Source organism: Homo sapiens, chromosome 15 (genome assembly GCF_000001405.40).
Source record: "Homo sapiens chromosome 15, GRCh38.p14 Primary Assembly".
Lineage (NCBI taxonomy): Eukaryota > Metazoa > Chordata > Mammalia > Primates > Hominidae > Homo > Homo sapiens.
The window spans coordinates 82,958,664-82,986,166 of NC_000015.10; the positions used below are offsets into that span (position 1 = coordinate 82,958,664).

The 27,503-nt window shown below is 43.8% G+C and overlaps 1 protein-coding gene across 4 annotated transcripts in view, besides 1 other annotated feature; it reads right to left on the reverse strand.

Annotated features, from left to right (window-relative positions):
- Positions 1-27,494, reverse strand: part of HOMER2 (homer scaffold protein 2) — a 151,497-nt gene extending 124,003 nt beyond the window's left edge. For 2 of the 4 annotated variants that reach the window (XM_005272449.5, XM_006720776.5), the window contains exon 1: positions 27,417-27,494. In XM_005272449.5, coding sequence (XP_005272506.1) covers positions 27,417-27,421 — 5 coding nt within the window. In that variant the 5' untranslated portion in view covers positions 27,422-27,494. Of the gene's footprint in view, positions 1-311; positions 646-27,123 lie in introns of all 4 variants that reach the window. The other 2 variants (XM_047433361.1, XM_047433360.1) reach the window with 2 other exon arrangements.
- Positions 4,733-5,233: an enhancer, noted in NCBI's record as "H3K27ac hESC enhancer chr15:83632148-83632648 (GRCh37/hg19 assembly coordinates)". NCBI's record gives its function as "activates a minimal SCP1, AML or CMV promoter by ChIP-STARR-seq in primed H9 embryonic stem cells {active_cell/tissue: H9 hESC(primed)}" and the evidence as "EXISTENCE:reporter gene assay evidence [ECO:0000049][PMID:30033119]".

Here is a 27,503-nt window from a genome sequence, read left to right on the forward strand (position 1 = left end):
CAGGAAATGTCTTAATCAGCCCCCAGTGAGGCTGGGAGCCTGATTAGAGAGAAGAGCCAGGGAGCTCTGGCAATGCAAGGGCCTGGGAAGCTGCAGCTGCTGGGAACGGGTGGGGAGTCAATCATCAAACAATCCAACAACCTTGAGGAGAGGACTTTGGACCTCACTGGCTGCCTCCCAGCAGAATTCAATTCCAAGAGGCAAAAATAGAAATGACCAGATGAATAGCCCAGCCAGCTGCAAGTGCCCCCAGGGGCATCCTGATTATGCTGCCCCATGCTCTGAGCTATCACACTCATTGTCACCCTTACCCCTATCAAAAGGTGTCTCCTCCACTAGACTATGGTCTTCAAGGGCAGGGTCCCTCCTGGGTTTTTCTTGTTCTGTTTGGCTCCATCCTCAGGTAAGCTCTCTTCTGGACTCCCAACTCACATTCAAGTCTAGCAAATTCCCAAACAGGTCAAGCCAAAGTCTCCGAACTAAGCCTCGCCGTGTCTGACTGCCCTGCCTTGGGGCACAGGCCGATTCCTGAGCCCATCACTGTGGCCAGGGGAATGGAATGTCCTGATTGGCTCAGTCTGGGCTGAGGTGTGGAGGCAGCTTCTCACAGAAGGCATGAAGTGGGTGTAGGACTGGGGCGGACACCTAGAGGAAAATCAAGGTAAATAGATTCAGGGTGGTGGCCAAAACATAACACTGCCCACTGTCAGCATATAGTTATACTTGTTTCCCATTGGCATGCACAGAGTGGCTGTTGGATAATAGGTAGTTGAAGGCAGAGCACAGTCATTGCAGGTTAAGCAATTCCTGGAGAAGAACTTGAAAGGGCCGGTCTGGAGAGTGGGCACAGTTCTGAGGATCCAAGGCATAGATGGTGGAAGTATACGCATTAAGCCAGTCATTCTCAACCTTGGCTGAACATTAAAATCACTTCTGGAGACTTGACAAAATACCAGTGCCAGGGCCCCACCTCCAGTAAGAATGATTTAATTGGTTTGAGTGGTGCCCAGGCATCGGCAATCCTTTAAACTGATTATGATTCCGATGCGCAGCCAGGGTTGAGAACCACTGCCCAAGTCTTGGTGTTCAAAGAGAAGTAGGTGTGATACCCAGAGCCCCAAGAGTTTAGGAACTGGTGGAACAAAAAGGAGGACACCCAGCTCACTGGCTGGGCTTGTATGAGATTTAGGGTTCCGGAGAAGAACGAAGAAATCCAAAGAATTTGTAAGGCCAGGGAGGTGCAGTACCTCCTGTGAACACATAGCAGAAGGAATTAATTCTGAAGTCGCCTAACTTTCTCTGAGAGAGCCTGGAGTTCTAAGGATTATTTGCCTCCGATTGGCAGCAGCACAACGAGAAGGTGCCTGTGTGTATATCTGGAAAGCTGGCATGGGTCAGGTTCAGATGGGTGAGGCTGGAATTGACAGCCATGCCTGAGGGAGACTCAGCAACACTAGGGATGAGTTAAGAAAATGATGGAGTCATATATAGCTGAGGCTTCCAACCGGAGACGTTGGGTAGAGGGTGATACCTCTCAAGAGGGGGAGAAGCAGCAGCAGCAAGTCAGAGAAGTGAGATAATGAGTGCAATTTTGGACATGCTGAGATGCAGGAATCTGAGGAACAAATAAGAGGAGATGTCCAGTGGGCAGTTAGATATTATAGGTACACAGCTTGGAAGGGAGACTTGGGAGCCATCAGCAAGTCAGTATCTGAACCTGGGAAGTGTGTGTTGAACAGAGGTGGGGCTGAGGGTGATATTGAGGGAATCACCAGGGAGGAAAGTGAGCCTGTGAGGATGACAAAGTGGCCGTTAGTATCCAAGGGGCCATTCTGTTCTAATGTGGATCAATTCCCCTTCAGCATGATTTCACTGAATTAAATATCAACTTTTTAAAAAGCGAGATAACTCCTTGCCAGTATACTAAGAGCAAACAAAAACAAACAAAAAGCAATTAATACAAAATAGAAACAAGTGGGTTTTCAATTCAAATGTAGCAAATATTTACTGAACACCTACTATGCGCCAGCCTAGCTACAGATGGTGTGGCTGGCATGGTTAGCTTATCAGGCACCCGGCTCCACTCCTACTCTCTTCTCCAGCCCCATCTGGGAGGCCTCGGTGGTAGTTCTGGTTCCTAGAATCTTTGCTTCAGCTGATCCACCAGTTGCTCTATGTGAGGTCTTCTGGAAATCTGGGGTCCTCATAGTGAGGAACACCTTTGCAGGAAGCTACCTTCACCTCAGCTGCCCAGCAGGCTTTAGACTTTGTCTGTTCCACAAAGCCCTGGCCTGTGCTGGGCTCCCTGTAAGACCTGGCTTCTGCTCCAAGGTCCACCTCCAGCTCTTTCCCAGCTTCTGTGTAGGGCAGAGATGCCTTATCTGGCTGTTGGCCCCAAATGAGCAGACCAGTGAGGTGGCATTTCCACCATCTCTCCAACTGCTTGCCCCGCAGGGTCTCCAGGAGTTTCCTTTCTGTCACTTCCGAGCTACAATACCACAACAGTTTCCAGAAAGTCACTTGGAATCAAGACAATACACTTCTACTCACACAAAGCAAGAGGCTGGTTAATCTCTCACAGTCCCCACTTACTCATACAGATTTCCTCTTTCACCATTTTCTTTGGGTTCCTCATCCCCTCATCTACCCAGCAAACACTTCCCGTGCGCAGGTTGGGGGGTACTATGAGGGTTGCCTCTGTGACAGACCCCTCCTTTTAGAAATTTGCTTTCAATTACATATGACTTATTGTTCTCTTGGCACATGCCATCTCTCCATTTGCATAATTCTCCAATCTACTGATTCTTTACCTTCTTCAAAACTATCACAAAAGCTGAGTGTTCAATCTACTTTACTCAAGTATCCCTTTAAATTCCTGTGCTTCACTGGTTTATCACTTTGTAAAAATGTCTTCCTCAGTTGGTTCTTGGATATACTGTCTCCTAAACAAGTTTTTTTTTTAATTGTGGCAAAATATACATAACAATAAAACTTACCATTTTAATCCTTTTTAAGTGTAGATTTAAGTGGCACTAAGTATATTCACATTATTGTGCAATCCTCACCACTATCCATCTCCAGAACTTCTCCATTATCCCAAACCAACATAAGTTTTTGTTTTTTATTTTGAGATAGAGTGGCCCAGCCTGGAGTGCAGAGGCGTGATCTTGGCTCACTGCAACCTCTGCCTCCCTGGCTCAAGCGATTCTCCTGCCTCAGCCTCCCAAGTAGCTGGGATTACAGGTGCCTGCCACCAAACCTGGCTAATTTTTGTATTTTTAGTAGAGATGGGGTTTCACCATGTTGGCCAGGCTGGTCTCAAACCTGTGACCTCAGGTGATCCACCCACCTCGGCCTCCCAAAGTGCTGGAATTACAGATGTGAGCCACTGCACCCAGCCCACACAAACTTTTAAAAAATGTCCAGGCCGGGTGCGGTGACTCACACCCGTAATGCCAGCACTTTGGGAGTCCGAGGCGGGCGGATCACGAGGTCAGGAGATCGAGACCATCCTGGCTAACACGGTGAAACCCCGTCTCTACTAAAAATACGAAAAATTAGCCGGGTGCAGTGGCAGGCTAGTCCCAGCTACTCGGGAGGCTGAGGCAGGAGAATGGCTCGAACCTGGGAGGTGGAGCTTGCAGTGAGCTGAGATTGCGCCACTGCACTCCAGCCTGGGCGACAGAGCGAGACTCCGTCTCAAAAAAAAAAAAAAAAAAAAAATGTCCAGAGGCCGGGCATGGTGGCTCACACCTGTAATTGCAGCACCGTGGGAGGCTGACGCAGGCAGATCACCTGAAGTCAGGACTTTGAGACCAGCCTGACCAACACGGCGAAATGCTGTCTCTACTAAAAATATAAAAATTAGCCGGGTTTGGTGGCGTGCGCCTATAATCCCAGCTACTCAGGAGGCTGAGGTAGGAGAATTGCTTGAACCCGGGAGGTGGAGGTTGCAGCAAGCCGATATTGTGCTATTGCACTCCAGCCTGGGCAACAGAGTGAGACTCTGTCTCAAAAAAAAAAGTCCGGGAAGTGGGGACATGCCTAGTTCACTTTTTGTTCCTAATTCTGAACATAGTATATGCCTCATACTCTTGGCTAATTAAAGCAGATAAGAGGTTTAATATAAAAGGTACCACAGTGACACCAATATCAGTCCATCAAACCACTTCTAAACTACTTTTTATTAAAACAAGAGGGGTAAAGCTAACCAAGAGAAAAGGGAGAAAACATAAACTTAGTCTAGCTGGGACCCAACATCAGGCTAGACTTGACCTTGCCCAGAGGGGCTAAAAGCCCAAAGACCCTAAAGAAAATAAGAATGAGGCCTTGCCGGCTGGGCACAGTAGCTCACACCTGTAATCCTAGCACTTTGGGAGGCTGAGGCAGGCAGATCACGAGGTCAAGAGATTGAGACCATCCTGGCCAACATGGTGAAACCTTGTCTTCTTGTTGTTGTTGCCCAGGCTAGCGTGTAGTGGTGCAATCATAGCTCACTGCAGCCTTGAACACCTGGGCTCAGGCAATCCTCCTGCCTTAGCCTCCCGAATAGCTGGGATTACAGGTGCATGCCACCAAGCCTAGCTAATTTTTTTTTTTAAGTTTTTGTAGATATGGGATCTCCCTATGTTGCCCACGATGGTCTCAAACACCTAGGCTCAAGTGATCCTCCTGCCTCAGCCCCTCGAAGTGCTGGGATTACAGGCATGAGCCACCGCACTGGGTCTGCCATCTCTTCTGAAATGACATGGACCCTTGTGGAGTCCCCAGTCAGGCTAAAAAATTAGCTGATAGGAAACAAAAGCACTAGAAGGAATAGACTGAGCCCATTACTACTGAGTAAGAGCCTTTGAGCAACTAGAAAGAACAGTGTTTCCCCAAACTTGCCTCATCGTATGAATCACACAGGCATCCATTAAACATTCCGATTCAATACTTCTGGGATGGGGTGTGGGAATATGCATGTTTAATAAGCACCTGGAGTGATTCTTACAAAAGGCAAATTTGGGAAAGAATGAACTGGAGTGTTCCATTAGCAAAGAGGGGCTGACCTAGCTGCCTGGAGCTGTGAAGGTAAAGGCTCCCAGGCAGTCTTATCATGGGATCTTGGGAGCTCCTCAGACCACTGGCTGCTTTTACCAACCCTCAAAACTCCCATGGGCCTGCTGCTTCTGCAAATTTGGCCTTTCCTCCTCCAACATCCTCCATGCAGGGCCTCTTACTTCCACCTCTGCTGCCAAAAGCCTTGGATGATCCCAAGTTCTGGCAGCCCCATGCCCTGGCTGCTTCCCTACAACTGAGCACTGACGATGAGATGTAGTCCTAATTTAGAACTAAAGAACCAGGTATTCTTTGGCCAGATATTAATTAGGAAATGACTACAGAGAGCTGGTGACATTAGATTCTACCTTTAGATCCAGCTGGGTCATTTTATAGAAATAACTTGGGCAATTTATATCTACCAAATCTGAGATCAGTGTTTACAGAGGAAGACACTGGACACCAACTATAATTGTCAGAGCTGAAATTTAACCTTGGGGCCCTCCTGATACAGGCTTGCCGAATGAAGCCTGGGAGGTTCATTCACGTTCAGGCTGCTCCAGCGCGTCCCCCTGCCTACATATGGCACAATTGTATCATCACCACTCCCTTCCTAAAACTCCTCCAGATCAGAAAGGGTTACAATAAAACAGGCTGGTGAATGCCATTTGGCTAGAGAGTCAGATGTTTTAATTAAGCAACTGCTTATTTCTTACAGGTCAAGCTGGACCTATAATTAATTTAGCCAGTTAGGCTTTGTTTTAATTAAAACACAATTTCTGCTAGGCATGGTGGCTCACGCCTGTAATCCCAACACTTTGGGAGGCCAAGGTGGGCAGATCACTTGAGGTCAGGAGTTCGAGACCAGCCTGGCCAACATGGTAAAACCCCGTGTCTACTAAAAATATGAAAATTAACCGGGCGCAGTGGTTTGCACCTGTAATCCCAGCTACTCGAGAGGCTAAGGCAGGAGAATTGCTTGAACTGGGGAGGCAGAGGTTGCACCACTGGAGCCAAGATCACACCACTGCACTCCGGCCTGGGTGACAAAGTGAGACTCCATCTCAAAAAAACAAAACAAAACAAAACAAAATTTCTGAAATAATCCCTATTTATCTTCACTTCAGAAAGTTTACAGAAAGCAGTGTTTCCATGGGAAGTCAACAAGTGTTATGCAGCAGGAAAAGGTTCCGTGCTCCATAGGTTTGGGAAATACTATGCTAAACAAAGTGAAATAAGTTTCTTTATTCTTTGTTTTTAGGACCTTTAATATGTCAATGTAGACTTAGGAAATTCCAATAAATGAACACAATTTACTATATTTTCTTTTTTTTGAGACAGGGTCTCACTGCATTGTCCAGGCTGGAGTGCAGTGGTGCCATCCTAGCTCACCGCAGTCCTGAACTCCTGGGCTCAAGGGATCCTCCTGCCTCAGCTTCTCTATTAGCTGGGACTACAGGCACACACCACTACACCCGCTAACTTTTGTATTTTTTGTAGAGACGAGGTCTCACTATGTTGCCCAGGCTCGTCTCTAACTGCTAGCCTCAAGTGATCCTCCCATCTCAGCCTCCCAAAGTACTGATGTTACAGGCATGAGCCACTGTGCCCAGCCTATATTTTCTAAATTAGATGAATTTATTCGCAATTAAACCTTAGGTAGTTTTCCAGAGAACATTTTAGGAAATGCTGAAATAAAAGATACTGTTACCCAAAGCCAATCTGACCTAATAGAAGTAAGCAGTTGCTACTTTGCTTGATCTCAGGTAAATATCTCCTACCTCTGAGGTACTATTCTCTAAAACCATAAAAATCACTTATTGGGGTTAAGGGGTAGAGCATAGTGGTTAAGTGAGAAGGTTGTCTGGATTTGTATTTGGCCTCCCATACTTATTAACCTCAGACGTGTTACCTAACTTCCCTGTACCTCAAGTTCCCTAGCTGTAAAATGGGCAATATTGGTACCTCCTCTCAAAGGCTGTGGTGAGAATTAAAGGCACACATTGGGCTATTATCAAGCAGCAGAGTGCATTGGCTCCTGAAGAGAAGTGGGTCCTCAAAGCCCTTTTTTTTTTTTTTATTTTCCAGCAGATAAAAGAGGGGTCATGGGGCCAGTTGTGGTAGCTCAGGCCTGTAATTCCAGCACTTTTGGAGGCCGAGATGGGAGGATCGCTTGAGCCCAGGAGTTCAAGGCCAACCTGGGCAATATGGCGAAACCCATCATTACAAAAAATACAAAAATTAGCCAGCCATGGTGGCATGCACCTGTAGTCCCTGCTATTGGGGGATGAGGAGGTTAAGGCAGGAGTACGGCTTCAGCCCAGCAGGTCGAGGCTGTGGTGAGCCAAGATTGTGCCATTGCACTCCAGCCTGGGTGACAGAGTGAGACCCTGTCCCCTAAAAAAGAGGGGTCACTTTAGAGGGTATAACAAAGTTGGCATTGGGAGTATGGTAGAATTGAGGGGTGAATGCAAGGAGTAAGCATAAGCTGAAGGGAGCCATTGTGCTGGAGCTCAAAGTATGTGGGAGGAAAAGTGGAGGTACAGGTGAGAGTAACAGGCCCAAGATGAAGGGGAAAGTTCACTAAAACACGGAGAAAGAGGAAAATAAAAGAATCAAGTCAACCTTGTAACAGATTATATAGAAATACATGCCTATGTGGGTCAGTAAGTATATTATAAAAACAGAATAAAAGGGGGGGAAAGAAAACAGTCAAACTTCACAATTTCTTTAAGACAGCCTTAGCTGCAGCCTATGACTCCAGTGCACACCCTGTTGCTCCCTGACTCTTAGGGAGGTTGACAACCTAGGATACTAGTTTGGACAGTGTGCAAAAGTGAATTTTACTAGGAGCCTCCAGCAGAAAAAGGAGTCACCCAGAATTGCATAAAACAAAGGCGGGAAAATGTTAAGATACTAATAGCCAAGAGGTAGAATAGAGAGGTTCCTCCTGGTGACTTGCAGGGTTAACCTGGGACCTCTCGGATTAGGATTTCAGTGGTCTCACTGGCATTTCATGACTGACATCTACTGCCACACAGCATTGTGGGTTACAGTGAGCAAAGTTGTTTCTCAGAAACTCTTTAGAAAACGTGAGTGTGAATGAAACTAATAGCATCTTGTCCAACTTCAGTCATCTTCAGATAAGAAACTTTAACTTCCTCAAGATTTCATGATGGCTGAGAATGAACTTACTAGGTCAGTTCTGAGAAAAGTAGTTTGGTCTCTTTAAAACCACAAAGCAACAAGTCAACTCTAAAAAGGATGTTTGTGGCTGGATACGGTGGCTCACACCTGTAATCCCAGTACTTTAGGAGGCCAAGGTGGGAGGATTGCTCGAGTTCAACAACAGCCTGAGCAACATAGTGAGACCCTGTCTCTACAAAAATAAAAATTAGCTGGGTATGATGGCACACATCTGTGGTCCCAGCTACTTGGGAGGCTGAGGCAGGAGGATCAACTGAGCCCAGGAGTTAGTTCAAGGCTGTAGTGAGCTATGACTGCCCCACTCCACTCCAGCCTGGGTGACAGAGGGAGACCCTGTCTCAATAAATAACTAAATAATAAAAATAAAAAAGGTGTTTGTGAGATGTTCAAATCTGTGAAAATTGAACACCATTCTTTGCTTATATTAAGGAATAATTTTTTAGGTATGATAACGTAAGTTTTAAAAAAAAAGAGCTCTTAGTGTTGAGAGATACATGCTGAAATACATACAGTTTGCTACAAAACAATCCAGTGGGTGTGGGGAAGTGGGTCAGGGTATAAATGGAGTTAGTGTGGCCATGAGTTGCTAATTGTTGAAGGTAGGTGGTAGGTATGTGATGGTTTATTATGCTGTTCTACTTCTGCATATGTTTGGAATTTTCCATTAAAAACTCCACAAAGCAGGCCAGGCACGGGGGCTCATGCCTGTAATCCCAGCACTTTCGGAGGCTGAGGTGGGTGGATCACGAGGTCAGGAGTTCGAGACCAGCCTGGCCAATATGGTGAAACCCCACCTCTACTACTAAAAATACAAAAATTAGCTGGGCGTTGTGGCGGGCATCTGTAGTCTCAGTTACTCAGGAGGCTGAGGCAGGAGAATCACTTGCACCCGGAAAGCGGAGGTTGCAGTGAGCCAAGATCGCACCACTGCACTCCAGCCTGGGTGACAGAGCAAGACTCTGTCTCAGGAAAAAAAAAACCAAACAAACAAAAAACCACTCCACAAAGCAGAGATATCTCACTGCACAGGCAGGCCATTTAATGTATATGTGTAAATATAATAGGTATTTTATTCACATATTCACTCATTCAAAAATATATATAACATATTGTAACAAAATTCACATAAAATTTACCATTTTAATCATTTTTAAATTTTTTATTTCTTTTTTGTAGAGGTAGAGTCTCACTGTGTTGCCCAGTCTGGTCTCAAACTCCTGGGCTCAAGTGATCCTCCCGCCTCAGCTTCCCAAAGTGCTGGGATTACAGGCATGAGCCACCATGGCCGGCCATTTTAACCACAGCGGAATTTAGTACTTTCACAATGTTGTGCAACTATCACCACTATACAGTTCCAGAATATTTTATCGCCCCACAAGGAAACCTCAAACCCAGTTAGTCAGTCAGTCCTCATTCCTCCCCTAGCCCTTGGCTACCACTAATTTGCTTTCTGTCTGTATGGATTTGCCTATTCTGGATATTTCAAATACATTCAACACATTTGTTTAGATTTAAATTTTATTTATTTTTATCACTAAAACATTCACAGGTTTAAGGTTTAAAAGGGTCTGCAGTGAAAAGTCTCCGTCTCACCCCTCTTCCCCAGCAACACAGTTCCCTATCCAGAGGCATCTTTCCAGAAATTAAAAATTCCTCTTTCTTTACCCAGATGGTAGTATTCTATACACACTGTTCTGCAGTTGGTCTTACTTCACTTATCTCAGAGATCACCCTATAACAGAACAAAAAGAGCTTTCCTTTTACAGGTGCATAGTATTCCATCATTTCAGACTGTGTTTCACACACTGTTAAGTGCTTTGGGGCTATAGAAATTAACAAAATATGGTCCTTTTCCTAGGCAGCTCAAAGTCTAAAAAGTACTTTATTTTGAGAGGGAGTGTGGAGACAAACTATAGGTTTCAGCTTCGAGGCTGATCATAATCTCAGCTGCCTTCACAGCCAGACTATCTGGAAGGAAAAAAAGAGATCTAAGGTAAAGTGGTCTGAGAAATACTGGGGGATTGGCTAGCAGATGTTGGCAAAGGTGACAGCAAACTGCTGCCTCTCTTCCACCTTATTCTCTAAGACATAATTGATCACATCACTTATGTCCTCTCATGTTTTTTCTGATTAGAAAAGGGATTCTCATTGAGGAAATTCAGAAAGTGGATAGAGAAGCAGAAGAATTATCCATAGTTGTTTGTAAGCATGTTAAATAGCTGCTTAAAACTGCACTGCATCGATACACCATAACTTAATAGCTTCCTGTAGGAAAACAGCCTACTGCATGGCAAGAGTCACACCATCTTGGGGCGAAACTGCCATGATGTTTGATCTCCACACACAAAGGTATTCTGCAGTAAGGTCTTGAAGCAACGCTGTACACAGATAAACCCTCATAAAGATGCTTACCTAACCTCCCCAGTGGTCATGAATCTTGGAAGAAAGTCTGAAGACATGACTAGCTGCACGTCTTTACCCTAAAAGCTTGCTATTTATAAAGGGCGGATGCGGGGATCTACGATTCTTATGGCTGCCTAGACATCACTTCTGTTCATAAGTCCCTATGAAATGTTTCCCTCTGAGAAGCTGGGTTTGTCAGCCTCTTTCTTCGTCCTCTAAGCTCCCTCAGCCTTTGTGGGTAGGTTCACATACACCTACTGACCAAGGAACACTCCTCATTCACTTCTGCATTTTAGAGATCCAGGAACTAAAGCTACAATAAATGTTTACTTAAAGAGACGAAGAGACATCTAAGTGCATACAGTAAATGAGATAGGTAAGACATGGAGCCAGACGTTTTATTTGAAAATTATCTTTATGAAATTGAAACCATAGTAATAAACTTAGGGAAGATGCAGGGATAGAAAGAGAACAGTAACTGAAAGTTAACACTTTAGAAATTCCAACAATTACTGGATAGTAAAAATAAAAATAAAAAACTCTATAAATGAAATAGAGGAAAATTAACTTAAATAGAACCTTTGTATCCTCAACAACTACAGAAGATGCCTGCCACACCCATGGAATAAATGTTTGTTTAACTGAAACGAACACAACAGCTGGATGAAAAGAGACCTAGGATATCTGATGGCGGTGAAAGAGGATTATCATGTGGAAAATAACTCATGCCTAAACACTGTGAGGATCATACATGGTAAGTGAGGGGCAAAGGCTCCATCCAGCTTATAGGTGGTAGCTGAAGCCATAGGAATAGATACAATTGCACATGCAGAGTATGCAGAATGAGAAGAATTTTGAGCAAGACCTCCTCAACCTGACCAGAAACTTTTCTTGCCTGAGGCAGGGGGAGGACAGAGCTGTCAGCAGGGCTTGGGGACTATTAGGAGTATCTAGATCAGCAGATAATTTGAGAGGGCCCAAGAGAAGGAGAGGCCTATGTTTTGGGGCCTGAGAGAGGTTTCTTATCGCCAGTGATTTTATCACCAGGGCTCTGAAAAATGGATAGGACACTTCCTTCCAAACAATGTAATCTTCCCTGAAAATGGACCTAATAACATGCCTCACATTACCATCAAGGCTAAATTGGACTCCACTGACTCATAATTCTTTTTTTATCTTTGGTTTTGATCCTTACTTCCCATACAACTCAGTAAATGACAGCACTGCTCTTCTTCTACTGAATAATCTATTTCAAGGATGGGCAGTGGAGACTCTATAGTTGTGTTTGCTATTATTACCTGTGCCATAGTAGAATCCTTTATAGCATTCATGTCGAATGTAAAGGAAAAGAGAACAAACAAAACGAAGTAGATTGATATCTTGCTAGGTAAATCCTCTGAGATAAAATTTCTTTCAAATGGAGTCAGCTGTGTAAGAAAAAAAATGGCCTCTTCTTGCCATGCTGTGTTTTGCATGGATGTTGTGGCTAAGAAACAGCCTTTGACTACAATAATATGTGGGTAAAAATATCTCCAGCTCCTGTTTGTCTAAAAATGGCCCAAGATAAATAAGCCTTATCGCTGGCAAAATTCAATTCCCTTTGGCAGATATTTGTTAATCACCAGCTGTGTTCCAGAGCCTGTGCTGAGGACACAGAGGTGAAAAGCCATAGTCCATGGCCCCTGGTAACTCCTGGATACCCAGACATAAGGAAGGGACTCCCTGAATTATTGATGGGAAGAAAACAGTCCATTCAAAGGGAAGATGTATTCCTCATTGTAAATTAATACACGGGCACCTGTTTACTGAGAACATCATGAGCTTGGTTAACGTAACCCAATTCTTGATAATGAGCAGCTCTGGATTTCTGGATGTTTTCAGCTAAAGATTGGGCTCTGGATCGTGCCATAGGTGCAGGTAAGTAAAATTATGGGGGGTAGGGAAGAGGAAGCTCATGTGCTCCTTCCTGTAGTCCTAACTTCCACAGGGCACTGGGGCATGGCTCGTTTCTAACATTGGTGATTCCTATCCTTTCTCAAGAATTCTGAATCAGGTGAGAGAGAGAGAGATAGCGAGAGAGAGAGCAAGAGAGACAGATACATACACACACACACACACACACAGACACAGAGAAAGATAAACAGAAGCTGTTGAGGAGGCAGAGCTGCTAAGGGTATCATTTTTTTTTCTACTTTGACACCATTTTCAAATAAATTTTAGTAATTGTGTCACTATCCAGCCTGGATGGATAGCCAGCTTCACTTTGACATTTCTCTTTAGATGCAACAACCTTACAGTGGAGAATTTATTTAAAATTTTAAATAGATTTTAGAGGATTCTTGGAAGCAAGAAACTATGGCTCTTGCCATTAATCTCTGACTGTGCTAAAATCAGTCCAGTTCTGGGCCAGTGCTTCAAAACCCTTCCTTTACTGTGCAAGGACAGAACAGAACTGATATGGGGGTGGGGGAGGGAACTAGCTATTTCTGCCACAGCCAATAGTAATATTATGACTGTCATCTTTCCAAGAGGTACATCAGGACACAGACTACTCAAAGGTAGATGTCTGGACACTAAGATTTTAATCATTAACTCCTGCCCTTAAGGTTTTCCAGGCCTAAATCTCCTCTTCTATTCTCTGTGCCATATTATCCTGGGGTTTCAACCAAGTGCTTCAAGGTTGTATATTCGAGCTAGCTTGCTAGCGTCCTCCCTTCCTTCTTTTGCTCTTAGGTATAATTTACCTACCATAAAATTCACCCATTGTAAGTGTACAATTCATGATTTGTAGCACATTTATGGAGTGTGCAGCCATCACCCCTATGTAGTTTCAGAATGTTTCCATTAGCCCAAAAAGATCCTTAATGCTCATTTGTAGTCAATCCCTATCCTACCCTAACCCAGGCAATCACAAATCTGCTTTATGTCTCTATCAGAGCTTCTTTTTTGAAGAAAATTTTGGCCTTAACCATCCAAGAACTCCTGCACCTCTACCTGAAGGTGGGGTGCCCTTCTGGCTAAGAATACAAATTATGTTCTTAAAGTTTTACAATAGAATGCAACTTTATGCTGGTGTGTCTGTTGCAGGCCATGGCCACGTCGGCCATGGAAAGCACCCGAGTGGAAATAAATAGAAAATTCTTCTCCTGCCTCAGCCTCCTGAGTAGCTGGATTACAGGCATGTGCCACCACACCTGGCTAATATTTTGTATTTTTAGTAGAGATGTGGTTTGTCCATGTTGGTCAGGCTGGTCTCCAACTCCTGACCTCAGGTGATCTGCCCACCTGGGCCTCCCAGGTGGAGGTTGCAGTGAGCTGAGATGGCGCCACTGCACTCCAGCCTAGGCAACGAGAGCAAAACTCTGCCTTAAAAAAAAAAGAAAGAAAGAAAATTCTTAGGCACTGCAGTAGAGGTACAAGAAAATGGAGATTGCCTCAAGTGCTGGCACAGCAGGAATTTCAAAGCCTCAGATATGGATAATAACCGCAGGTGACGTGGCCTTCTGAGTAACAAAATGCTTTATATGGAGGTAAAAGTTGTATCTGGGTGCTAAGCAGTGAGCCCACAGTTCTACATGCTTTGGATCTGGTGGACATCTTACTCTCTGTGAGTTCTCAAGAATCATTAAATTCGGAGTATACCTCCATGAGGTACAAAAGAGGCAGGCAACAGGGAGCCTCCCTGCCTCCTTGTCTCATTTATATCTTGCACTGCTCTACTCCAGCTTCAGGAATAAGTCAAAGTAAAAGGAACTATAAACTGTGTCCAGGTTGTCTCTTGAACCCTGACAGGCTCCAACTTCTGGCTACAGCAGTGTCTAATATGAAAGCAAACAGACCTTGCTTCAATCAAAACCACAAAACATCTGCATTCTAGTCTCTCACCACAGAGCAATCTTGACCACCCTGCCATCCAGCTCCTATGTCTCAGAAATATGCCTCAAATATGTTTTTCTGTAGGTTCCTGAGTTATCCCTTCCATGGGCAGGGCACAGGCTTTGAAAAAAGAACTGGCTTTAAATCTCATTTCTCCTGCTTGCTTATCATAACTGCCCGTCATCTGTAAGCCTGGATTGTAAGAGAGGGATAATATGTAGCCAGGTAGGTTGTTGTGAGAATGAGTAAATATAAATATAAAGCTCTGCCCAGTGCCTGGCATGTAGTAAATGCTCGGTATTTACTACATAATGGTAGCGCTAGTAGTCTTCATATTTTAACATGGTTGTTTTCATAGGACAATGACAAAATGTTTGTATTAGAACCTCTCCCTTCTCAAGCCAAGTTAGAGTGTTTTATTTTGGTTTGGAAAACAGTGCAACTGTTTGTTAATGCTTATCATCTAGGCTATAGAAAACACATCATAGTTCATAAAATCATTATAATCTCATTTTGGAATCAGGAAACTGAGGCTCAGAGAAGAATCTCAGCAAAGTCACTCAGGTCATCTGCATCCATCTAAAGCCAATGTCTGGCCAGGCATGGTGGCTCATGCCTGTAATTCCAGCACTTTGGGAGGCTGAGGTGGGCGGATCACATGAGGCCAGAAGTTCAAGACCAGCGTGGTCAACATGCTGAAACACTGTCTCTACTAAAAATACAAAAATTAGCCAGGCATGGTGGTGCACACCTGTAATCCCAGCTACTCGGGAGGCTGAGGCAGGAGAATCACTTGAGCCCAGGAGTCTGAGGCACGAGGGTCACTTGAACCCAGGATGCAGAGGTTGCAGTGCACAGAGATCGTGCCACTGCACTCCAGCCTGGGTGAAAAAATTAAGCCAATGTCCTTCCCACTTAAAAATACTAAAGATCAGCCAGCCGTGGTAGCTCACACCTGTAATCCCAGCACTTTGGGAGGCAGAGGCGGGTGGATCACCTGAGGTCAGGAGTTCGAGACCAGCATGACCAACATGGAGAAAACCCATCTCTACTAAAAATACAAAATTAGCCAGCCGTGGTGGCACGTGTCTGTAGTCCCAGCCACTCGGGAGGCTGAGGCAGGAGAACAGCTTGAACCCGGGAGGTGGAGGTTGCAGTGAGCCGAGATCGCGCCATTGCACTCCCGCCTGGGCAACAAGAGCAAAACTCTATCTCAAAAAAAAAAAAAAATACTAAAGGTCTCCATAGAGCAAAGGTTCTCCACTCACCTATGGGAGGGGCAGACTTCTACCTACCATGGTGAAAACAGAGTCAATACACGACAATGTCTAATTAGAATGAATATGCTCTAATCTGAGGAGAGAGACATATTTCCCTAGGTAAGGGTCACAGTTCATATTCCAAATATGACTGGGATGATATTGCACAGGGGCTCCCTGGGGGCACTTGGGAGAGAAGACTAGTAAAGAGCTCTGTGAGTCACCCCACAGGGAAATGCAGCAGTCTTGGAGTCTGTCTCTGAAGAGTATTCTACAAGAGAATTAGGACCCACTGTGAGCCACTGTGCCTAGCCGACATTTCTTAAAAGAAGACATACAGGCCAGGCGTGGTGGCTCATACCAGTAATCCCAGCACTTCGGGAGGCCGAGGCAGGTGGATCGCCTGAGGTCAGGAGTTCGACACCAGCCTGGCCAACATGGTGAAACCCTGTCTCTACTAAACATACAAAAATTAGCTGGGCGTGGTGGTGGGCGCCTGTAATCCCAGCTACTCGGGAGGCTGAGGCAGGAGAATCACGTGAACCCAGGTGGCAGAGATTGCAGTGAGCCAAGATTGCACCACTGCACTCCAGCCTGGGCAACAGAGAGACTGTCTCAAAAAGAAAAAAAAGACACACAAATGGCAAACAGGCATATGAAAAGGTGCTCAACATCACTGATCACCAGAGAAATGCAGATCAGAACTACAATGAGGTATCATCTCACCCCAGTTAAAATGGTTTATATCCAAAAGACAGGCAATAAATGCTGGTGAGGATGTGGAGAAAAGGGAAGCCTCATACATTGTTGGTGGGAAGGTAAATTAGTACAACCACTATAGAGAACATTTTGGAGGTTCCTCAAAAAACTAAAAACAGAGCTACCATATGATCCAGCAATCCCACTGCTAGGTATATACCCAAAAGAAAGGAAATCAGCATATCAGAGATATCTACACTCTCATGTTTGCTGCAGCACGGTTCACAATAGCTAAAATTTGGAAGCAATCTAAGTGTCTATCAACAGACAATTGGATAAACAAAGTGTGGTACATATACACAATGGAGTACTATTCAGCCGTAAAAAAAGAATGAGGTCCTGTCATTTGCAACACCATAGATGGAACAGGAGGTCATTACATTAAGTGAAATAAGCCAGGCACAGAAAGACAAACATTGCATGTTCTCACTTACTTGTAGGATCTAAAAATCACAACAATTGAACTCATGGAGATAAAGAGTAGAAGGATGATTACCAGAGGCTAAGAAGGGTAGTGGCATGGTAGGAAGGTGGGGATAGTTAAATAGTACAACAAAAATAGAATGAGTAAGACCTACTATTTGATAGCACAACAGAGTGACTACAGTAAATAATAACTTAATCATACATTTGAAAATAACTAAGAGTGTAATTGGATTGTTTGTAACACAAAGGATAAATGCTTGAGGGGATAGATACCCCATTCTCCATGATGTTCTTATTTCGCATTGTGTGCCGGTATCAAAGCATCTCCTGTGTCCCATAAATATATACACCATGAACCCATATAAATTAAAATTAAAAAAATTTTAAATAAAATAAATTTAAAAAGAATGGTCAGTCTGCATCCTCTGCACCCAAGAATCCATATTCCTCACAGGAGCTCACTTCTGGCAATCCACATAGTGTGTGTGTGCACGCACTCCGTGTATATGCTTGTTGCAGAATCACCTTCTTCAGTAAATTTCTCAGGGTTAATTTCACTTTCCTCTTATTCTTCCTTTACCCTGAAGTACCTCTATACTTATATATCTAGTTGCAATTATCTCTCCCTGCATCCCATTAGATTATCATGCACTATTTATTTATTTATTTATTTATTTATTTTTGAGACGGAGTCCGCTCTGTCGCCCAGGCTGGAGTGCAGTGGTGCAATCTCAGCTCATTGCAACCTCCGCACCCCGGGTTCAAGCGATGCTCCTGCCTTAGCCTCCCAAGTAGTTGGGATTACAGTCACCCACCACCACACCCAGCTAATTTTTGTATTTTTGGTAGACACAGGGTTTTGCCATTGTTGGCCAGGCTGGTCTCGAACTCCTGACCTCAGGTGATCCACCCGCCTCGGCTTCCCAAAGTGCTAGGATTACAGGCATGAGGCCACACTATTTTATATACTGCATATATTACCATCATAACTATCTTCTGGTTGACTCTACAATTAGTACGATTAGATCTTAAGATTTGTGTGTGGTTTTTTTTTTTTTTTTTTGAGACAGAGTTTTGCTCTTGTTGCCCAGGCTGGAGTACAATGGCGTGATCTTGGCTTACTGCAACCTCTGCCTCCAGGGTTCAAGCAATTCTGCCTCAGCCTCCCAAGTAGCTGGGATTACAGGCATGCGCCACCATGCCTGGCTGATTTTGTACTTTTAGTAGAGACGGGGTTTCACCATGTTGCCCAGGCTGGTCTCAAGCTCCTGACCTCAGGTGATCTGCCCCCCTCGGCCTCCCAAAGTGCTGGGATTACAGGCGTGAGCTACCGTGCCCAGCTGTGTTCCACATTTTTTTTTAACTCTCCTCACTCCTCCAACACTAAGCCCAGAAATATATTGTATAGCAATGTTTGTGGGGTGAAAAAAAATCCTAAGAATCTTTAGATTAGGATTATACCTGAACACAAATATTACATAAATGATCTTACTTTGCATTAACAAAAATCAAGCAAATTATAGCAAAATGCTGAAAAAAAAAGTAATTTTTGCTGCAGAGAAATAAATGCTTGCAGCTCATTTCTAGCCAATGGTGGTTTAGTCATAGGGAGGTTGTTAAACACCTTTCTGAGAAGCTCCCAAGGCACATGTGTTATCTGAGGGAACATATGGAACCCACCATGGGTGCAAACGGGGTGCCTGGGACTACTTGGATATACAGTTTTGTTAATTTTCCAGTCTTGTTGAAGGATTCACCTTCATTCTGATTAACTTTCTTAAATGTTTACCTTCATATTTGCCAACTGCTTAAATTGGTGCTTCAACTGTTGTGACCATCTGCTCAGAGAAAACTTTTAGATTACGTCACAATTTTCAGAGCCTCAAATCAGTTTTAGAGCTGGAGGAGACCTTAGAAATTGGAAAGTCTAAGTCCTTCACTCTTATGTTAATAAACATCTCTTCACTGCCTGATGTGTGTCAGCCTCAGTGCTAGGTGCTGGAGATGAAGAGACATCACACATGGCCCCTGGACTCTTAGCACTTACACTCTAGCAGGAAAGAGGAACATCAAAACAGATTCAATAAGGTAATGTGAATGGTTATCTGATAAAAGGGAGTCCAGGAAACAAATGTGTTATGTACAAGAGGTGGGCTGAGTCTTTATATATGGTTGAATGTTGACTGAGGGGAGAGGAAGTGGGAAAAAATTAGTCAAAAATAAAACTGGAAGGCCGGGCACGGTGGATCACACCTATAATCCCAGCACTTTGCGAGGCTGAAGCAGGTGGATCCTGACTTGAGGTCAGGATTTCAAGACCAGCCTGGCAAACATGGTGAAACCCCGTCTCTACTAAAAATACAAAAATTAGCTGGGCATGGAAGCAGGCACCTGTAGTCTCAGCTACTCTGGAGGCTGAGGCAGGAAAATCGCTTGAACCCGGGAGGCAGAGGTTATGGCGAGTCGAGATCGTGCCTCTGCACTCCAGCCTGGGCAACAGAGGGAGACCCCATATTGAAATAAACAAACAAACCTGGAGAGGAAGGCAGGGGCAAGATCAATAAATATTAACCGAGCACCAACTATGTATCAGATTGCCAGACTCAATGCTCATTGCTAAAGATGTGAAAGACATGGCCTTACCCTCAAGGAGTTTATAATTTAGGTGGATGTAAACAAATTACAATTCCTCACAGGAATTCACTTCCTGTGATAAATGCATGACTAGGTATATGAAAGACATAAAGAATAATCCGTTCTACTTGGAGGTGGGGACAATAGTGGGATGATTATGGAAGCTCACCTGAAAAGGCTGTTTACCAGGTAGACCAGAGTGGGGAGGGCACTGCAAACAGAAGGGACAGCATGTGTACAACATAGTACGAAGTCTTCCAATAACTTTAAACAGTTTGATATGGGTATGCATTTAGTTCATTTAGGCAGTGATATGGTTTGGCTGTGCCACCACCCAAATCTCATTTCGCAGTTCCAACAAACCCCGTGTGTTGTGGGAGGGAGGTAAATGAATCATGGGGGTAGTTTCCCCCATGCTATTCTTGTGATAGTGGGTAAGTTCTCATGAGATCTGACAGTTTTTTATTTTTTTGAGAGGGAGTCTCACTCTGTCGCCAGACTGAAGTTCAGTGGCACAATCTCAGCTCACTGCAACCTCTGCCTCCTGGGTTCAAGCGATTCTCCTGCCTCAGCCTCCTGAGTAGCTGGGACTACAGGTGTGTGCCACCACACCCAGCTAATTTTTGTATTTTTAGTAGAGACCGGGTTTCACCGTGTTGGCCAGAATGGTCTCGATCTCTTGACCTCGTGATCCACCCGCCTTGGCCTCCCAAAGTGCTGGGATTACAGGCGTAAGCCACTGCACCTGGCCACGATCTGACAGTTTTATAAGGGGCTTCCCCCTTTACTTGGTTCTCACTTTTCTCTCTCCTGCCACCATATAAAGAAGGACGTGTTTGCTTCCCTTTCTGCCATAATTGTAAGTTTCCTGAGGCCTCCCCAGCCGTGCTGCACTGTGAGTCAATTAAACCTCTTCCCTTTATAAATTACCTAGTCTTGGGTATATCTTTATTAATAAAGCAGCATAAGAACAGACTAATACAGGGAGAGTGGCAAGAGATGAGACTGGACCGATAAGACAGAGTTGAATCTCGATCAGCTGCACATTCCAAACTAAGGAGCTTGGATTGTATCCTAGAAGAAATTAGGAATCACTGAAAGGTAAATGGATCCAGGCCTAGATATAATCAAGCTACTCTGAGCTAGCCGATAGATATACAATTAATTATATTATTATCAATTATTTTCTGTATGTTTCACAATGATAAAGGATGCTCTACTAGCAGAGTGGAGAAGGGTCTGGAGGGGAGCAAGGCTAGATACAGGGACTGACCAGTTAGAGACTGTCACCTTGGTTTGTGTGAAAAATGATGAGGGCTGTAACTAAGAGGGTGACATGAAGGAATGAAGAGGAGTGAACAAACAGAAGAGAAAGTTCAGTCAGAAGCTGAAGTTCACAGGACTTAGGGAGACACTGAGTATCTGGAGTAAGAGAGATGGAAGAGTCCAGGATGGCTGCTAGGTTTCTGGCAAGGGAAACTGCGAGGAAGCATTCTCTGAAAATGGAAAGAGAGGTAGATAAACAGGTTCAGGAAGAAAGATGAATTCCCATTTAGACACATGTTGCAGATGCCTGTTGGACATCCAGATGGAAATTTCTCACAAGCAGGAGTATTTATGAGTCTAGAGCTCATATGTGATGGATGGCTGGAGATATCCATTGAGTCATCAGAACAGAAATGGAAGCTGAAGCCACAAAAGTGATAGTCTGCATAGGCAACACAAGGAGAGTATAGGCAAGGTTATGGGGATACCAACTTTTAAGTGGCAGGCAGAGGAAGAGGGAATCAGCCAAAGAGACAGAGATAGAGAAGTGTATTATATATATGTATGCATGTTTATATATATACACATATATATATTTAAATTTCTGTACATCATGTTTTTTTGTTATATACCACTAAGAGTTATATATTATGATGTTTTGATGTCTTAAAAAAGGGCCCAGCCAAGAGCATGCCTGTGATACACAAACCAACCAATCAAGAGCCATACCCCCTCTATATGGTCCATACACCCCACAAGACAATATTCCTGTCTCAGTCACCCCAGGGCCAGGTACCAGGCAACTAGGGACCATCCCTATAGTTCAGAGCCCTCTGAAATTATTCAAACTAGCCAATCCTAAAATGTTTACCCTGACCTGCCTTTTCTTTCCTAATGAAACTCCAATAAAGGCTCCGGCCTAACGCTTTCCCCTTGCTCCTGTGTTCTGCCTCTGACCACCCTGGTGTCTTTCCCATGTGGCTCTGCGTGGCGTGTTGTGCTTCCTATCTCCAGGACCTGTGAGTGTAATGAACTTTGTTTTTCGGAGCCTCTCCTGTATCTCCTTTTGTGGCCACCCCTGACTGACCATCACATAAAATAATACAGAACAATAAGAAAACAGTGACCCAGGGAAGTGGACAATCATGAGAAACTTGGAAACAAAGTGAGAAGGTTTAAAGGAGGAAGGAGATAAAAGCATCAAATACTGCACAGATATGAAATATGCCGACAATTTTAGAGTCTTGAATTTGGCCCTGGGACAACTTTTCCCTAGTGAACTTTGCCAGGGTGGTTTTATTAGAGTGGTTTCAGTGGAGTACTCAAGGGCAGAAACTTGACTGAATTGAACAGAAAAGATAGAGAAGTATAAACTGCAGATGTGGAGTATTCTTTGTAAAATACGCATGTCGGGGGGAAAGGAGATCCGAGATAGTCTGAAGAGGATACAGGATTGAGGGCAGGGTATCAGTTTTGTTTTGAGACTGAAGAAATTTGAGCAAGTGTGGGGGTGGAAGCAGCCAGTAAAGACGGAGAGTTGAAAACAGAGAAGAGAGAAGGAATAATTGCAGGCACAACTTGCAAGAGCAGAGGATGCACTGGCCAAAGACACAGGGAACTGCAAGCTGCCCAATATCTCCCTCTTCCTGTCCCATTTGACAGGCTCATTTATCAGCTGTGCCCCTGGATAAACTGCATAACCTCTTGACCCTCAGCTTTAGTCTTTAAAGTGGTTATTGTCCAAGATCACGAATGGCCTCTGAAAGCAGAGCTCTTTTGATGCCAGCATTCCCCAGGACTTTCTGCTGGTGTGTTTTGCCTGTAGATCATTGGGTCAAACTAAGGTTTAAAGTTATGAGTAATTGTGCACTGCTATTGGGAATGTAAAATGGCACAGCCATTATGGAAAACACTACAGTGGTTCCTCAGAAAATTAATAATAAAATTATCATATGATCCAGCAATTCCACTTCTGGGTATGCACCCAAAAGAATAGAAAGCAGGGACTTGAATAGATATTTGTGTATCTATAATCACAGATGCATTATTCACAATAGCCAAAAGGAGGAAGAAACTCAAGTGTCCATTAATAGATGAATGGATAACAAAATATGGTGTAAACATACAATGCAATATTATTCATTAAAAGGGAAGGAAATTCTGACACATGCTACAATGTGGATGAACCTTGAAGACCTTATGCTAAGTAAAGCCAGTCACAAAACAGCATATAATGTATTTCACTTGCATGAGGTACCTAGAGTAGTCAAATTCATAAAGATAAAGTAGAATGGTGGTTGCTAGGGGCAGAGGGGAGAGGAAAATACAGTTATGGTTTAATGGGCACAGAATTTCAGTGTGAGAAGATGAAAAAATCTCGAGATGGATGGCGGTGATAGTTGCACAACAATGTGAATGTACTTACTGTCAATGACCTGTGCACTTACAAATGGTTAAAATGGTAATTTTTATGTTACATATATTTTACCACAATTTAAAAAATATATCTGCTTAAGTAAAACAAAATGTCTACAATGAGTAGAAAAAAACACTATAAATTTCATGATGTAACCTTTCTCATGCACATCAACAGGCCCAAGGATATTACTATCCAGAAGAATATAACTGATGCTTTAACAGGGACTTTTAGTTGCCAGCAAAGATTAAATTATGGCCCATATATTCTGGTTATACCAGATAGGTAAGAGCCACATTTTGCAAACATTTCCATCAAAAATGGTTTCAATAAAAAATTTCTGATGCTTAAAGTCTAAGTGTCAGTTATCTAGAAAATTCCCCTTCATGAAACAGATTTCCTGTTGTCAGAAAATGAGACATAATAATCGATAACATATCAGAGAATGAAAAGACATTGGTGGGCAGAAAAAAATTTCATTTGAAAATTTGAAAATCTGCTGGAATACCTAGAGTTCTTCACAGAAACTCTCAGAGGCCTAGAGGCCCCTAAGTGTCACACACAAATTTACAGGAAAGAAAATACCAGTTGAGTATCCCTACTATGAAAATCTGAAATCCAAAATGCTCCAATGAGCATTTCCTTTGAGTGTCATGTTGGCACTCAAAAAGTTTTGGATTTGGGGACATTTTGTATTTTGTATTTGGGGATTAGGGATGCCCAATCTCTATATTCTTTTCTGGGTAAGTCCTCAATACTTACAAATAATGTCAATAATAGTCACAAGGAAACAACCAAACTAGCCTACAAGAAGCCCCTTTTCCAAATATCCTTCTTGATTCCCGATACTAGGTGAGGAAGCATTTTTCTTAGTTTTTCAATTGTCACACTGCCCCTCTTCAAGTTTTCTATTTCCTGTTCTTGTCTCCTAAATATGGGTATTTCCTGAGGGATAGGCCTTGGTCGCCTTCTCTTCTCTATGAATACTTTCCCTGTTGAAAAGATCATATACAGCTGCTCCTTGATTTTTGACGGGGTTATGTCCAGATAAACCCATCACAAGTTGAAAACATCATTAAGTCAAAAATGCAGTTAGTACACCTAATCTACCAAACATCATAGCTTAGCTTAGCCTACCTTAAACATGCTCAGAACACTTACATTAGCCTATAGTTGGGCAAGCTCATTTAACACAAAGCTTATTTTATAATAAAATGTTGAATATCTCATATAATTTATTGACTACTGTACGGAAAGTGAAAAACAGAATGTTTGTATAGGTATTCAAAGTACCCTGCCACTGAATGCACATGGTACCATTGTAAAGTACAACAATCGTTAAGTCAAACAGTCCTGTCGGGGAGCAACTGTACACCAGTGATTTCAACTATTGTTTCTTCATGAATTACTCACACATTTACATATCTGGGTAGAGCCTCTCTTTCCTGAGATTTAGTCTTGTATTTCTAACAACTCCCTGGAAATTTTCTCTTGAATATTTCACCAGTGTTTCAAATTTTACAAATGTATTTGGGCTCTGAGTTCATTTTTCCCTTAAAGCCACTTTACCTTATGGATATTCCTTTTCAGCCCCAATTTCCCAGGCTTAAAGAATTGGAGCCTTTCCTGATTTCTTTCTTTTCTTTCTTTTTTTTTTTAGATGGAGTCTCACTCTGTCGCCCAGGCTGGAGGGCAGTGGTGCAATCTCGGCTCACTGCAACCTCTGCCTCCCAAGTTCAAGCAATCCTCCCTGCCTCAGCTTCCCGAGTAGCTGGGATTACAGGCGCCCCTGACCACGCCCGGCTAATTTTTTTGATTTTTTAGTAGAGACAGGATTTCACCATGTTGGTCAGGCTGGTCTTGAACTCCTGACCTCAAGTGATCCGCCTGCCTCGGCCTCTCAAAGTGCAGGGATTACAGGAGTAAGCCACCGCACCCAGCTCCTTCCCTGATTTCTACCAATCTTTTTCTCTCGTAATCCACTCAGTAACTAAGTATAGTACTATTTACTATTTAGCGCACTATAGCGCGCTAACCAATTGCACTACTGGAGCTCCAGAATAGTACTATTCAATTATTATTATTATTTTTTTTTTTTTTTGAGACGGAGTCTTGCTCTGTCACCCAGGCTGGAGTGCAGTGGCGCAATCTCTGCTCACTGCAAGCTCCGCCTCCTGGGTTCACGCCATTCTCCTGCCTCAGCCTCCCGAGTAGCTAGGACTACAGGCGCCGGCCACCACGCCCAGCTAATTTTATGTATACTTAGTAGAGACAGGGTTTCACCGTGTTAGCCAGGATGGTCTTGATCTCCTGACCTCATGATCCACCCGCCTCGACCTCCCAAAGTGCTGGGATTACAGGCGTGAGCCACCGCACCCGGCCTTTTATTCAATTATTGTAACCTTGGTTGTTACACCTCTTACCTTTACTACCCAACACCAAGACTATCCTATTCCCTCATCCATACTATCCTATATACTTTTGCTAGGTTAATGTTTCTAAAACATTACTTGGAATATTCATAGTTCTATCATTCATTCCACAAACATTTATTCAGTGCTAACGTCATGGAAAAAGCACAATGTGGGGCTGGGCTCCACGGCTCAGGCCTGTAATCCCAGCCCTTTGGGAGGCTGAGGTGGGTGGACTGCTTGAGCCCAGAGTTCGAGACCAGACTGGGCAATACTGCAAAATTCCATCTCTACAAAAAATACAAAAAATTAGCAGGGTGGTGGTGTGCACCTGTAGTCCCAGCTCTCCGGAGGCTGAGCTGAGAGGATCGCCTGAGCCCAGGAAGTCGAGGCTGCAGTATGCCATGACCACGTCACTGCACTCCAGCCTGGGCAACAGAATGAGACCCTGTGTCAAAGAAACAAACAAACAAACAAACAAAAAAAGCACAATGTTATACACTCCAGAATGTAGAAATGCATTAGATAAAGGCCTGTTTACAGTTTAATAGGGGGAAAGACTTGCAAGTAAATAATTTTAGTTCGAAGTTAGAAAGTGGTAATAACTAAATACATGAAATTCCAGAAATATGATGGACTCTCAATAGAAAGAAAAATTATTTCTAGGTAGAGATGTCACTTTCTAAAGCTTTAAATAATGGAAAGAATTTCAACATTTGGAGATGAGGGGGAGAGACAGGTATTTCATGCAAGGGACATGAGCAATCTATAAAAATGTAATAATTTATGCATGACGTACTTCACAGGGTCTGGTTTACCACTGACTGAGGGAGAATGGAAGGGGAACAGCAGAAAATAAAAAAAGTTTTGAATCCAAGTTAATAAACTTGACCTTTAATCTACAGGCAACAGAGAGCCATTGGATCAGCTATTTTGGATCACGGTGGTGCTTGAAGATGGCTACACCTATAGCAGGTATATGTAAGATAGGCTAGTAGCAGAGTGATGCTAGAGGCAGGACATCAATGAGAAAGGTACTGCACTGACACCGTGCAGGGGATGGTAATGAGAACGTTGATTAGGTGGGGGCAGTGGGTAAGAAGATGCAAGAATTACTGTAGGGGTACAATCGACAGGACTTGGCAAGTGATTGGAGCATGGAAAGGCAAGAAAGGGCATCAAATCTGACATCAAAGTTTCCAAGTTGGTTGTATTAACAAAAACGGGTGCATAGCCTGGGAAGTAATTTGGGAGGGAAGAGGCCAAGCTTTGTCGGGATATTAAGTGTTTATACATTTGCTGAACATCCCACAAGACATGGGCAAGACTCTTGGAAGTAGCTGGATACTGACGACTGAAGCTGGAGCAGAGAGGGGGTATGTTTCTGCAAAACCACATACAAAACGGACTACGGAAATCTTACTACCGAGGCTTGCCCAGGCAGGAGAGAAAGGTGTAGCATCCCTGAAGTCATCAGTCGTGTCTACTCTTCACCGCCTGCTCTCACCTCACGTTCCCCACGAAGACTCCGGGAGCAGGCGGCCGGAAGGAGCCCTTCCCTCCCTTCTCCGGTGATTCCCAGAACTTCCGTCTCTACCCGTCACCTGCTCCCAATCAAAGGAGCTTAATAGACGGCGACGTTTTCGACTGCCCAGCCACCAGGCAGGCTGAAAGTGCATGGAGGGCATCATCCACCTTTAGACAGCTACTTGCCCACACCTCATCGAGCTCTGGGCGTTGTGCCAGCATTTGAAGAAGCGATCTGTTGCAAAGCGATCCACACGGAGAGCCTTAGTTATCGCGAGA